Here is a 13,022-nt window from a genome sequence, read left to right as displayed (position 1 = left end):
AGAGGCTGCACCAGTAAGAAATCTCTTTCCAAGAGATTTTGTAGGGGCTTTGTTGTATTATTTGACAACAGTCAATTCTGCTACAGATGAACAAGAAAAAGAAGATGGATGAAACTCATAAACGTGTGTTAAGTATAGATAATGACTATGTAGTAGCTTATAAGACACAGGTGAAATGTATGTGTTACATTTAGATAATGAGTAAGTAAACAGACATACAATCATTCCCCCTTATCTATGGTTTCGCTTTTCAAGGTTTTAGTTACCTGTAGTCAACCATGGTTTGAAACTATTAAATGGAAAATTCCAGAAATAAACAATTCATAAGTTTTAAATTCTGTGCCATTCTTCTGATGAACCCTCGTGCCATCCTACCCAGGATGTGAATCCTCTCTTTGTCCAGCATATCCACACTGTGGACACTCTACACCCAGGAGTCACTAAGTAGCTGGCTCAGTATCAGTTTGACTGTCTTGGTATCATAATGCTTGTATTCAAGTAACCCTTACTTTACTTAATAACGACCTCAAAATGCAAGAGCCATGATGCTGGCATATTGTTATAATTATTCTATTTTATGATTAGTTATTGTGAATCTCTTACTGTACCTAATTTATAAATTAAACTTTATAATAGGTATGTATAGGAAAAAACCATAATATATTGGGTTTGGGACTATCCACGGTTTCAGGCATCCTCCGAGGGTCCTGGAAAGTATCCCTGGCAGGCCAAGGGGGAGACTACTGTAGTCAGAATTCATGAGATGTGTTAAATATCAATAAGTAAGTTAGTAGCAGATTTGTTAAGCCTAGATCAAGTGTGTAGGTGCCAAGCATAGAAAGGGATGAAAAGACTAAAGAACCGCCTAATATTCATGACACACTAAATCATCTGAGCCACATGAGGCCCTCATTCATTAGATTTTATGTTGATTTCCCATTGATGACACCCATTCTGGTCCAATGTGTCCTCTGCCCAAGAAATGTAAATGCAATCCCCAGCTTCTCATCAGGCTAAGAGGCAAGCTACAGAGGAAGCCAGAGGGAATTGGCTCTGTCTCTTACAAAGCAAGTTGTGTGTCACTGGCAGATACCTTGTGTCTAAGTGGAACAGGAATCCTTTCTCAAACCTCAACTGTGGTTCATAACCATATCCTCAACAGGAAAGGCTGTTGTGGCAGAGAGGCTGGACATATAAATATTGTGTAACTCAAGGTCCTGCCATACTCCTGTGCCATATCCTAAGTAGTCAGCTCATCCCATCTCTTTCCCTTGCTTCTTGCCTTGCATTTTAAATAGAGGTAAAGAACTGTGTGATCTGAACATCTTAATTTGGCCTGTGACTTCTGGGATAGAATGTCTGGTAGTGTACTTGCAGGCTACTATTGCGTCAAGGTCATTTCCCACACTATAGATGTGGAACAGAGCCCCAGAAGAGGACAGCTGGTGTCAGGATACTTCTCCACTTCCAACAATACTCTGAGGCCCAAAAATAGAAAGTAAGGGAAGAATAAAAATGAGACAGGTTATAATTTTTTAGCCTTATAATTATAAATAAGAAATTTACCTGAGAGTCTTATAACCTATGTAAATTAATTTACTCAGAAGTTTGGACTATTCTGACCTTGGTTATGCTTATGTTTATTATTTCACATTATATGAAAAAAATAGTTTCCTGAGAAAATTATTAGTGTGAATCACTAATTGGTTGTCACTTTTTCTTCTATTTTCTTAAATACTAGAATTTGCTTTTAAAATGAAAATCAATATGAAAACCAACATGCAAAACAATCAAATGTTTCTATCAGGATAAAATTATTCTGAGTTCAAATCTATATTCATGTGTCTCTCAATGAGAACATGATGCTGTTTGTGATACAAAAAAAGAGAAAGCAGAATTTATAGATGTCAGTTATAATCTTATTCCAGATATAGCTTTACATAGAACTAAATGTAAAGCTACATCTGGAATAAGATTTTGTTTGGTTGTGCCACATCGAAAGAATCCTGTTTCACACAAGTAAGTAGTTGTAAATGGTAATGGTTCTTTTAATGGATTATGTTGCAATCTCTGCGTATTCTTCATTAAACATGTCCAGAATCTTAAAAGCAAAGTAGCAAGAAACTTATTCAAAATTGGTTTACTAACAATATATAGCAATTACTCATATTTCTGATTATAAACAAGATAAGACAGAGTACCCAAACTTACAATAGGTCATTAATCTATAACAGTACCTTCTCATTTGATATATTGGGTGTTTGCTTGTCATTGCACAACCGACTGTTAGGCTTGATGAGAGACTGTGCCAAACAGATGTGCCTGATCCTAACCTGGCACTGAACCAAGCTGGGCCTCTGGGCAACTTGCGTAATTTTATTGCTTGGGCATGCACAGGCATGAATTTTTTAGAAAGGCCAGTACAGAGCTACCACCTTCATGGTCAATGACACATATTTATAAGTTCGTTGATTTTGAGGACTGTGAAAGACTACTTCACCTGGCAGGATAAATTAAATATGCTGACGTCGAAAAATTGGGTTGAGAGAAATACTTTGCACAGATTATGAGGGAATTAAATCATTACAGTTTGGGCTGAAACGTTATATTCTTCTTACCACAGCTTTACAGGACTTTTCTCCAAAGTCCCATAGACTATCTCATTTGTAGTTGTATTCTGAATTATTTTCACATTTCACAACTCTTTAATTTCCAGTTTGATTTTTTTTGGGGGGCTTGGGGATGAGATGTTTAGCCGCTCATATAATAGGTACAAATTAATCTCTAAAAATATCTCCAGCAACCCTGGGTTTCTACAGACACAGTTTGAAATGTAATACATTAGGCAATGCTATAGCAGGCAGCCTCCCTTTGCCTCTAGAATAATGAGATGGTTTTATATTTCAATAGAATCTGCCAGAGTACTTGTTTATTGGACACAATCCTATTATTTTTCCCATAGTATTTTATGCCCAACAGTAACTGAAATTCACATGCTGTAGAAAAACAGCAACTGACGGATAGGTAAATCTGGGTGAAGTCTACATCGTTTCGTCCCCAATTTATGTCAACATTTAAAGACCATCTCTTTTACTCTCTGTTTTCCAGCATTTGGAGTCAGAGAACGCAGTGGCAGAAAAAGTGAAAAGTAGTATAAATTTGCCAGGGCTAAGGCAAGACTTTCCAAATAAAAATAAGTTGGGTTGTCATGTCAAGAAGGGCTAAGCTCAAACTAACACAAAGTTTGTGTGCATGCGTGTATGTGTGTAGGGGAATAAGGGTCATGCTTCCCCTTTATCATTCCAGGTATCTTAGCAGCACAGATAGCCTTGCCTACCAATACAAATGCATTTTGCTAAAGCAGTACATGGAATCTCTGACAATAAAAAAGCTTTTCAATGCTCCGAGGCGATAGTGGCTGATTAAAACCAGGTTAATAGAGTACTGGGGAAGAGAACAGACCGTGATGTTGAAGAAAGGTGCCCTCTAGTGGACTATTGTGTTTTTTAATCTGTTTGGGATAGTATTATGAAAAAAAAATGTCAAAAGTACGATACATTTTCTCATTAACATTTCAATAATACCTTTAATAACTGTAATATAAATACATAAATCTTCAGCTACATTGGTATGTATGTGTATGTGTGTGTATATATACATATATATACGTATATATATACGTATATATACGTATATATATACGTATATATACGTATATATATACGTATATATGTATATATATATGTATATATATATATAAAGGTTACACTAATGCTAATTCATCCAAAGTTGCAATCTAGGCCATCTTTGATGGTTCTAGAGTTGATAAAATTTTGGATCAAATCAAAGACCTGGTTCTGGACTTGACTGCACTTCTTATTAGGTGTGTTTCCTTGGGCTACTGCTTCATAGCTGTCAGCCTCTATTTCCTAATCTACAATATGAATTGAGTTATAAACTGCCCCTGCCGCCCACTTTCAGGCTGTCAGATGGCTGTCTTTTTATATCAATTTCATTTTATATCATGAGTTTTCCACATCAGCAATACAATATAACAATAATATATTATATATAGCATTGGGTGAGTCAACAAAAAAAAATTAGATTTCAATTGAAGGTCTTCCTTATAGAAATTTAATGAGAGTAAAGGTGATGAGTTTGTTTTTTCTTTTTACATTGATCATGGACATTTCAAAAACTAAACACACTAGATCATGAGTTCATTATGAAAATTGAATTTACTATGAAAATCAGAGTTACTATTTAAAAAAATATTTCCAGCGTTTCTATTTTCTTTTTTTTTTTTTTTGAGACGGAGTCTCGCTCTGTCGCCCAAGCCGGACTGCGGACTGCAGTGGCGCAATCTCGGCTCACTGCAAGCTCCGCTTCCCGGGTTCACGCCATTCTCCTGCCTCAGCCTCCCGAGTAGCTGGGACTACAGGCGCCCGCCACCGTGCCCGGCTAATTTTTTGTATTTTTAGTAGAGACGGGGTTTCACTTTGTTAGCCAGGATGGTCTCGATCTCCTGACCTCATGATCCACCCGCCTCGGCCTCCCAAAGTGCTGGGATTACAGGCTTCTATTTTCAAAAAAATTATTTTGTAGGATAACGTAAAATAGTAATGAAAAGAATTTACATAGCATACCTTTTCTGAAAATGTGTTTTCCTGGTATGTCACTGAACACAGGACAGAAACATAAAATTTATGACTAAACTGTTAACATCATCTCTAAGGAGCTATTAAATTTGTCAAGGGTCCCTAAATCTTTTTTCTTTTTTAAATACAGAGGTAGTGCTGAAATGCTATTGCTATTAGTTATAATGAAATTTCGTACTAAAGAGTTTCCTTAGGTCTGTTCTCTGACCAGCTTTTCTAGGGCGAGTTAAGCAGCGACATGGACTGTTCGTACATCCTTTCTCATTTTCATTCTCTCAGAAGAAATATTCAAATTATTTTAGTCATCTGAATAGTAGAAGAAACACTATTCTAAAAAGTTTTCTGAAGTAAAAGAAAAATGTCACAAAAACATTTGAGTTACTTAACTTGCTTTGTCCTAAAGCTATTGAATTAAGAAAGTTTCTCATCTTTTAGAAGTAAATTATTTCAGAATTATAAAGGTACTGATCAGGAAATTATGCTACTCCCAACACATGACACCAGGTAAACTCATTCTCAATGAGAAGGGTTAAACCATCAGTCACAGAAGATTCATACGCAGTAAAATCAATCTGCACATTAATCCCAACTCTTCTAAAACCCTCCAATTTAAACCAGTTTTCCCTGGTGAATAGCAAAGAGAGTCTCTTTCAGACACATAAGTTGGGCCCACAAAGTGTTCACTTGTTGAAAGTGCTGGGGCTTTTTTATTATTTACTAAGAAGGTCAAGATAGAAATGAGCAGTCCTTCTGAGTTTCAGCATCTTAGATAAACCTACCTACCTCATTCCAACATCTCTCTTCTCCCCTTATCTGAGATGATGCTAAGGGACTTTAGGGTTGGTTTGTTTTCACTCTTGACTTTCAATCAAATTTTTAAAATCTAGGAAAATGAACACCATCTACCATGCCCAAATATCCACACTTGCTTTCTTCTCATGGCCTCTGATTTCCAGCGTTAACTGTGAGGAAGAGCAACTGGCTGAAGAAGTACAAATTTGCATGGCAGATGTCAGTGGAAACTTGTACTGATGGTTTAAGCTACTTGGGCTATGTTTTGAGGTTTTTAAAATCAAATTTATTTTCCAAAGGACAGACGGGATTTCTGCAGCAGAACTGTCACTACAACTGAAGCCATCAGAACTTTGACCCTAATTTCAGATGGCACAAATTTAGCCCCACTCACTCACCCGGCTGCCCCTGATTCGATCATTTTGATGGTTTCATGCTCCTTGATTTAGTTCCCAAAGTGATACAAAAAATTAAGGGCTTGCCCTCCATTAAACCTTACCCTTTGTGAATTAAAAATACTTCTAAAAACATAATCAGATTTTGTCACATCTTGGTTTCAAACTCCTCGGTTTTCCACAACATTTAGGATAAAATCCTAAATCTCTAATGCTGTTATCCAGCATTATGTTATTGGCCCTGATCTACCCTCCTGACTTCTTTGCACCTCTCAAAATCTTGCTCACACAGCTCTAGGCACACTGGTGGCCTTTGAGTTTTCTGGAAAAGCCAAGCTCGTGCCTGCAACTGTCTCAGGGCCCTCACACAAGCTGTTTCTCAACCTGTAAGCCCTCTGCCTTCACCTGAGTCACCTCTCTTGCTTAAAGTTGGAGGTTTTTCCTTAGCCCCCTGTCTAAATAAGGTCCTGCTTTAAATTCACTTAGCATACTGTTTTTTTTTCCCTCTAATTTGTGGGATTTGTAACGTTGATTTGCTCCACTAGATTGTATGCTCCGTGAGAGAGCAAGGGCCATATGTATCACGTCAACCATTGCCCATCTAGCATCTGGCACAGTGCCAGGCATATAGTAGGTGTCCAAAAAATATTGGAATGAATGAAATTCTCGAGAAGTTCTCTCACTTTAGGGCCTTGGGATCGAGGGCAGGAGTGTGCCTGTGACCAGCTGTCATTAGTTCTATTGACTACCTGTGGGAAAGCTGGTCAAGTGGCCACTTGCTCACCTCAAGACAATGAATGAAGCTTTCCTGGATGCTAAGTGACTGCCACCTTGTGAGCTAAGCCTGGCAAGACCTTTGGGCTACACTTCCCTCCTCACTGTGAGCTGTGGCTTGGGCAGGCTCAAAGGGGCCCACTCACTCTGCAGATGTGCCTCAGGGACATGGATGACTCTGCCAGCTGCACTTGAGGGCAAAATAATCATTTACAGCTTCCCAGGTAAGGCTAACACTTACTCAACTGCAGTAACTAGATGCCCCCAATTTAATAAAAATTAGTTAAGAAGAAAAAAAAGCCTAGTTTTTTTCCTTTTCTCAATTTGTCACCTTATGTGATAAATCTTTAGTTCCAGAAATAGCCCAGCAAAACAAATAACTTAATATTGCCAACTTGTACACTTCAAAAAAGTCTATTGATAAGTGTAAAAAGTCAGAATTCTTATATCTAAAGAATAATAAAGTATCACAATTAGTTTTCTAATCAGAGAATAGAAGGCAAAATGGCCAGTAGGAAGACAAACTGGGTTTTTGAAAGACATACTTTTAAATTTGCCTGTCTACTATGGGGGTTTAGGTGAGAGAAAAAAAGTAAATTAAAAAGAAAAGAAAAAAAGAGCATATTTGTTTTCTTAGAGGAAAACAAACAAATACAAATGACAGTTAAAACCAAGAAACAACCTACAATTTAGGCTGTCGCTTTCCAAAAAGTATTCTAATGTTTGAAGAAGAAATTGTGGATGTGGTGTGAGTCTCTCTCCAATCCAAATGCTGTCCCTCTAGGAAATATTTGCTGTTTTATATTACAGCATCATTACTGTGATTCCCACATTAAATAACTACTAAAGTTTCAGTACTCCAGGCACTTGGTTGCCTGTCAAGGTGATAAATTAATTCTGAATCTGGGTCAAGAGTACATAGAGTACAGGTCTGGCCCTGCTGAACCTAGAAAGCCCGTGTGGACTCTTCATTTAGCATTAGTCACCATAATCTAAGTTTGATGGCTATATCTGTGTAGGGAGTTTGTTCTTCCCAGCTGGTGAGTGGAATGAGGCCAGTATGCCTTCTGTCCAGATAAATGACAAATGACGATCCAGTCTGGTATGCATGCCTGCCCTGCCCATGTTATTTCTTTCCTCATCTCAAGGCTACACCTCTTGGACATACACATTGGAGGAAACAGATGTCTGCTGTAAAATTAACAAGAGCACTTCTACATCCAGGTAAGAAATGCTCTAAAGAAAGAATTCAATGCTCTGTTTGGCATGAATAATAATAATTCAGTCAAGCTTCACTTGAAGTTAAGAATAACTTTCAGATTTTCAATTTATTAATATGAGGGTTAATGACAATAAATGAAGAATCTTTCTGAAAGAGATGATGTTTTTTCATGCTGAAAAAATAAGATTAAAGGTTGGGCGTTCATAGGGGTTTAGATGTACTCAATTACGTTCTTGTTTACAAAGGATATGGTTAAGGTGTTTTCCATTACTTTCAAAATACCCTTCATCCTGAAATGCTGACACATTAATGGGATGATAAATCAAATTACCTGACTGTCCCGTGGTCATGTTTCACCAGTTACTTAGTTTTTAGGGTTTAGAATGGGCACTTTGCAGGGCTCTGTGCAAAATGAAAATGGGGAACCATTGTTAAAACATTAAGAATTTTAGGGTGGTAACAGCAGAACATTAAACCAAGAGCAGGGCCTTTCAAAGCCTACGGAGGTCACATACCCATGAAGCCTGTCAAAGGTGGGCAGATGGAAGTAGAGAGAAACCAGACATACAGTCATTTATGTCGAGAATTACATAGGTTTTCAGTCTGGGAAGGAAAAGGCATCTTCGACTTTTGGCATGCAAATACCAATGGAAAGACAACTTCCCTTCATAGGAGGGGAAATTCAAGAGGGAGCTGAGGGAGGAGAGGAGGAAACTGACCTCTACCAAGCACCACTGCTGGGACCCACGCTGGCCCTGACATTGTCATCATTTGTCCTTGCTCCAACACTGAGCTCTACCATAGGATTAACTCCACACTACAGAAGAGGAATCTAACTGAGGTCGTTGATGAGTTTAAGCATAACTGCTTCAAGTTTAGAAAAAGCAGGTTAAGAGATGCAGGAACTGTAGGACACCTGAGGGGTATTCTGTAATTTTCGAGGAGGTTTCCTTCATGACCCTCATCCTCTTCATAAGACCACCTACCGCCCATTGCTGTCAGTCCAAAGATCCAGAGATCTTGCTCTAAGTATGAACTCTTCTCTTGCCTCCCACACTAGCACCTTTACGTCTACTGTCTGTCTTGGAGACCCCATCAAGCTTCACCTCAAGGTACTTCTTACTCCAATTTATACTCCTCAACTCCAGGTCATCCCTCATTCACCTCCTTATTCACTCTCCTTTCCATATGGCTCTGTCCAACCCTCTCTGGCCAACTCCTATTCCTCCCCAAGTCCATCATAAGTCCTTTCGGTGGGCCCTCTCTCATAAGCGTTCCTTTCACTGTCTTGCTCTAACAGAGCCTGAAGGCACTGCCTTCTCCTATGGCTCTCAAGAGGTGGCTGTTTTCTCTCCCACCTCCCTCTTGCCAAACAGCCTGTTGGATGAGTAGGTGTCTTCCTTGCTACTCTCTTGCTTGCAAACAATTAATTGTCTGTCCTTCCTAACACCCTGCTCTGAATCTCCTACCTGCAGACTGCTGATACCAACACCAGTTAGCCCTCCCCGTTGCAGCCACCTATTCCTCCCCAGATTACTCTGCCTCATGTCTTGAAGAGTCATTTTCCAGTGTTAGTTCTGTTACTAGGTTGGTGCAAAAGTAGTTGCGGTTTTTGCCATTGGAAGTAATGGCAAAAACCGCATCTACTTTTGCACCAACCTATATAAATCCTGGAAATTTCCATGTCTGTTAGATGGTCCCTGCAAAATTTTGGCCTGTAAATTCCGTCTTTTTCCATTCCATCTCAATTATACCTGCTCCCATGGCCATATCCTATTTTGCCATTACCAACAACTTCATGCCCTCCATAATTTCATCTTCAAGCCTCCCCTTCTCCAACAATCTTGCATTGTCATTCCAGTTCATTCTTTCCAACTATTCTTAATCCAATAATTCTTCCATTGCACTAGGCCTTATACCCCATATACTGTCCACTTTTCACCATTCTGTACTCTCAGGGTGTCCTCTCCTCTCTCTCTGTGTCTTAGATTCCCTTACCTATCATTGCAACCCTTAACTCAATCAATTATTCTCACTTGCCCCCTCACTTCATATTCACTTGGTTAAATCCCACCTGTGGATAAATTCAGCTGTTTGCTACTCTGTGCCTGCTCTCAGCTGACATATGTGGCTGGAGAAAAATATACAGTGTCTCCCCTTATCTGCCATTTCAGTTACCCACAGTCAACAAAGTTCCAAAAACATTAAATGGAAAATTCCAGAAATAAACAATTTATAAAATTTAAATTGAGTGCCATTCTAAATAGCGTGATGAAATCTCACACCATCCTGCTCTGTCCCATGCAGGACCGAATCATCTCTTTGTCCAGTGCATCCACACTGTCTCCAGTCCCTGCCTGTGAGTCACTTAGTAGCTGGCTTGGTGATCAGATGAACTGTCGCAGTATCACAGTGCTGTGTCCAAGTGACCCTCATTTTACCTAATAACGGCCCCAAATGAAAGAGTAGTGATGCTGGTAATTCGGATATGCCAAAGAGAAGCTGTAAAGTGCTTCCTTTAAGTGAAAAGGTAAAAGTTCTTGACTTAATAAGGAAAGAAAAAAAATGAATGCTGAGGTTGCTATGACCTACAATAAAACCAAATCTTTTATCTGTGAAATTGTGAAAAAGGAAAAATAAATTTGTGCTAGTTTCACTGTCATGCTTCGAACTGCAGAAGTTACAGCACAGTGTATAAGTTCTTAGTTAAGATGGAAAGGCATTAAATTTATGGGTTGAAGACATGGACAGAAACATGTTTCAGTTGATGGCAATTGCGTTCAGTACTATCCATGGTATCAGGCATCCACTGGGGGTGGTGGAATGTGCCTCGGTGGATAAGGGGGAATGACTGTATGATCACACTAACTGGTCTCATTTAAATTCATGACCACTAACCTCAAGAGCGCCCTCGGCACTGCCTGGCCCTCTCTACATTTTCCCTGTCTGTTTACTCCCACACTCTCCTAGACAACCACAAAACTCCTTGAAAGACTTGTCCAGACTTGCTGTCTACAATTTCTCTCTCCCCTTTTTTCTCCTTTGAACACTTTCCAATCAGGCTTTTGTCTTCACCATGCTACACCATCCTAAATCTTCCTCAACTAGATCTATGAGCAACGTTCAACATAGCTGGCTTCTAAGACAACGTTCTCCTCTGGTTCTTTTCCTTCATTAAAGGCTTCTCCTTTGCTCATCCCCCATTTCTTCCACTTTTACCCACTGGAGCTGTAGTCACTAACTACATGTGGCTATTTAAACTGAATAAAATTAAAAATTCAGTTTCCCAGTTGCACTAGCCATGTTTTAAGTGCTCAACAGCCACATGTGTCTAGTGGCTGTTGTACTGGACAGTGACGATAGAGAACATTTCCATCTTGGAAGAAAGTTCTATTGTATAACACTACACAATATCCAAGGATTAGTCCTTAGAGTTCTTCTCAATCTAAACTCACTTTCTGGGTAAGGTCATCCATTTTCTTGGCTAGTCACTTGTACCTCTAGCCTAGACCTTCTTCTGAACTCCAGACTCCTTTATCCAACCACCTACTGCTCATTTCCACTTGCATATTTAACAAGTATCTTAAAGGTATCATGCCTAAAAAATAAACTACTGATCTCTCTCAACCCTGACCTCCTAACACTCTTGCACCCACAATCTTCTTTTCTTACTTTTCTTCAGATTTCAGTTACTTTACTTCCCACTCCTATAAACTAAAATTCATTTCATTTCAGACAGACTGAAAGTTAAATATTTTAAAATATTCTATACCATATTGATAAACTCATTTGAAAATACATACATATATATTTTTCTTTAAAGGATCTGTGTGTAATCATAATTTGTAGAAATTTTAATCATTTCATCTCACAGGAAGAAATTATAATTTCAAGTGTTTAGGCTTAGTGTCTGATTTATCCTTAAGTGGAATAAGTTCCTAATACTTATTTTGATTAAGGTAGGGTTGTGGGGGCTGGAGGTGGGCTGTAAAAACACCTTTATTCTAGAATTGGTTCTGCTCCTTTACCCCCCAAATCACTTTAAACTACAGAATTAACTTTAGGGTTGCTCTTTTGGGGCCATAGAAGTCTTTTTTTCAGAATGTTCATCAGGAGTTTGGTCAGAGGGGTGGGAAGAGCCAACAGCAGAGTTCTCCTGGTTGCCAGGTGTGTGAGCCTTGTAACCTTGTACAGCTTTCATTCAAGTCTATGTGATCCCCCCAAAAAACTGCCAGAAATATCTGGCCAATCCCAACCAAGATCAACTGGCTCTGGGAGACATGGCTCCCAGGATCTGGTTACCTGAGCCATCTGGCCTGTGGCTAGGAATATCATGCAGGAATGAGCTGGGGGCTAACCCTCATCCTCTGAGGGCTACGCCTCACCTAAGGGTGACAGGAAGATGGAAGCACCTGCAGAAGAATCTGTGGAAGGGCCCAGGCACCAGCTCAGCCACCTGGTGGCTTCCCTTAGGCTACTGGCCTGCAGTACAAAGAATGGAAGTCAGTCCTAGATACACTGCCTGGTCTAGAGTCAGGGCTTAATCAAGAGGACAAACTATTATTATCTCTACACTTTCCAGTCCCCATAAATTCCTTTGAAAAGTAAAGATTTCTCTGCTATGAAAACATTCCTTATGAAGCAGTTTAGGGAAGGGGAAATGTTTTTTTAACTGGAGCCACTGGTGACCAGAACATGCAAGTGACAGTCAAGCAGATAAAGAGCAGTGCCATTTACTTTTAGTAGTGATGCTGGGCTTTTTTCTTTCTGTTTTTGTTTTGTTTTGTTTTTTGCCTCAGAAGATTTACATATATGGGTTGGGGAAGGTAGGTGGTTTTAAAATACGTCCCTAAATTCTTTGATATTCTTCCCTTGAAAAGGAGAGCTTAATTCCCTTCCCCTTAAGTGTGGGCTGGATATAGTGACTTTATTCTACAGAAACAAAAAGCAGAAGTGACATACCTGCTACCACAGAGGCTAGGTCAAAAGAGGCACAGCAGCTTCATCCATCCATCTCTTTCTTCCTCTCTCTCTCTCCCCCAAGCTCCCACACTCTTTCTTTCTCTCTGATCACCAGCACTGGGGGAAGTTATCTGCCATGTCATGAAAACACACAAACAGCCCACGGAGAGGGCCACGTGGTGAGGAATTGAGGGCTCCAGCCTCCAGTCATGTGAATGA

The 13,022-nt window shown here is 39.4% G+C and overlaps 2 protein-coding genes and 1 long non-coding RNA gene across 31 annotated transcripts in view; 1 reads left to right on the top strand and 2 right to left on the bottom strand.

The window, feature by feature from the left end:
- Positions 1–13,022, bottom strand: part of IQCJ-SCHIP1 (IQCJ-SCHIP1 readthrough) — an 828,041-nt gene that overhangs the window by 65,239 nt on the left and 749,780 nt on the right. The window lies entirely within an intron of this gene.
- Positions 1–13,022, bottom strand: part of SCHIP1 (schwannomin interacting protein 1) — a 624,116-nt gene that overhangs the window by 65,239 nt on the left and 545,855 nt on the right. The window lies entirely within an intron of this gene.
- LOC101928351 (uncharacterized) overlaps positions 4,296–13,022 on the top strand; it is a 28,725-nt gene continuing 19,998 nt past the window's right edge. The window contains exons 1-2 of one of the 2 annotated variants that reach the window (XR_241608.4): positions 6,668–6,843; positions 7,768–7,843. This is a non-coding gene — a long non-coding RNA (uncharacterized LOC101928351). Of the gene's footprint in view, positions 7,844–13,022 lie in introns of both variants that reach the window. The other variant, XR_007096144.1, reaches the window with a different exon arrangement.

Source organism: Homo sapiens, chromosome 3, assembly GCF_000001405.40.
Source record: "Homo sapiens chromosome 3, GRCh38.p14 Primary Assembly".
In the NCBI taxonomy this organism is placed as follows: Eukaryota; Metazoa; Chordata; class Mammalia; order Primates; family Hominidae; genus Homo; species Homo sapiens.
The sequence above is the reverse complement of the archived record's forward strand: the minus strand, read 5'-3'. Positions and strand labels throughout refer to the sequence as shown.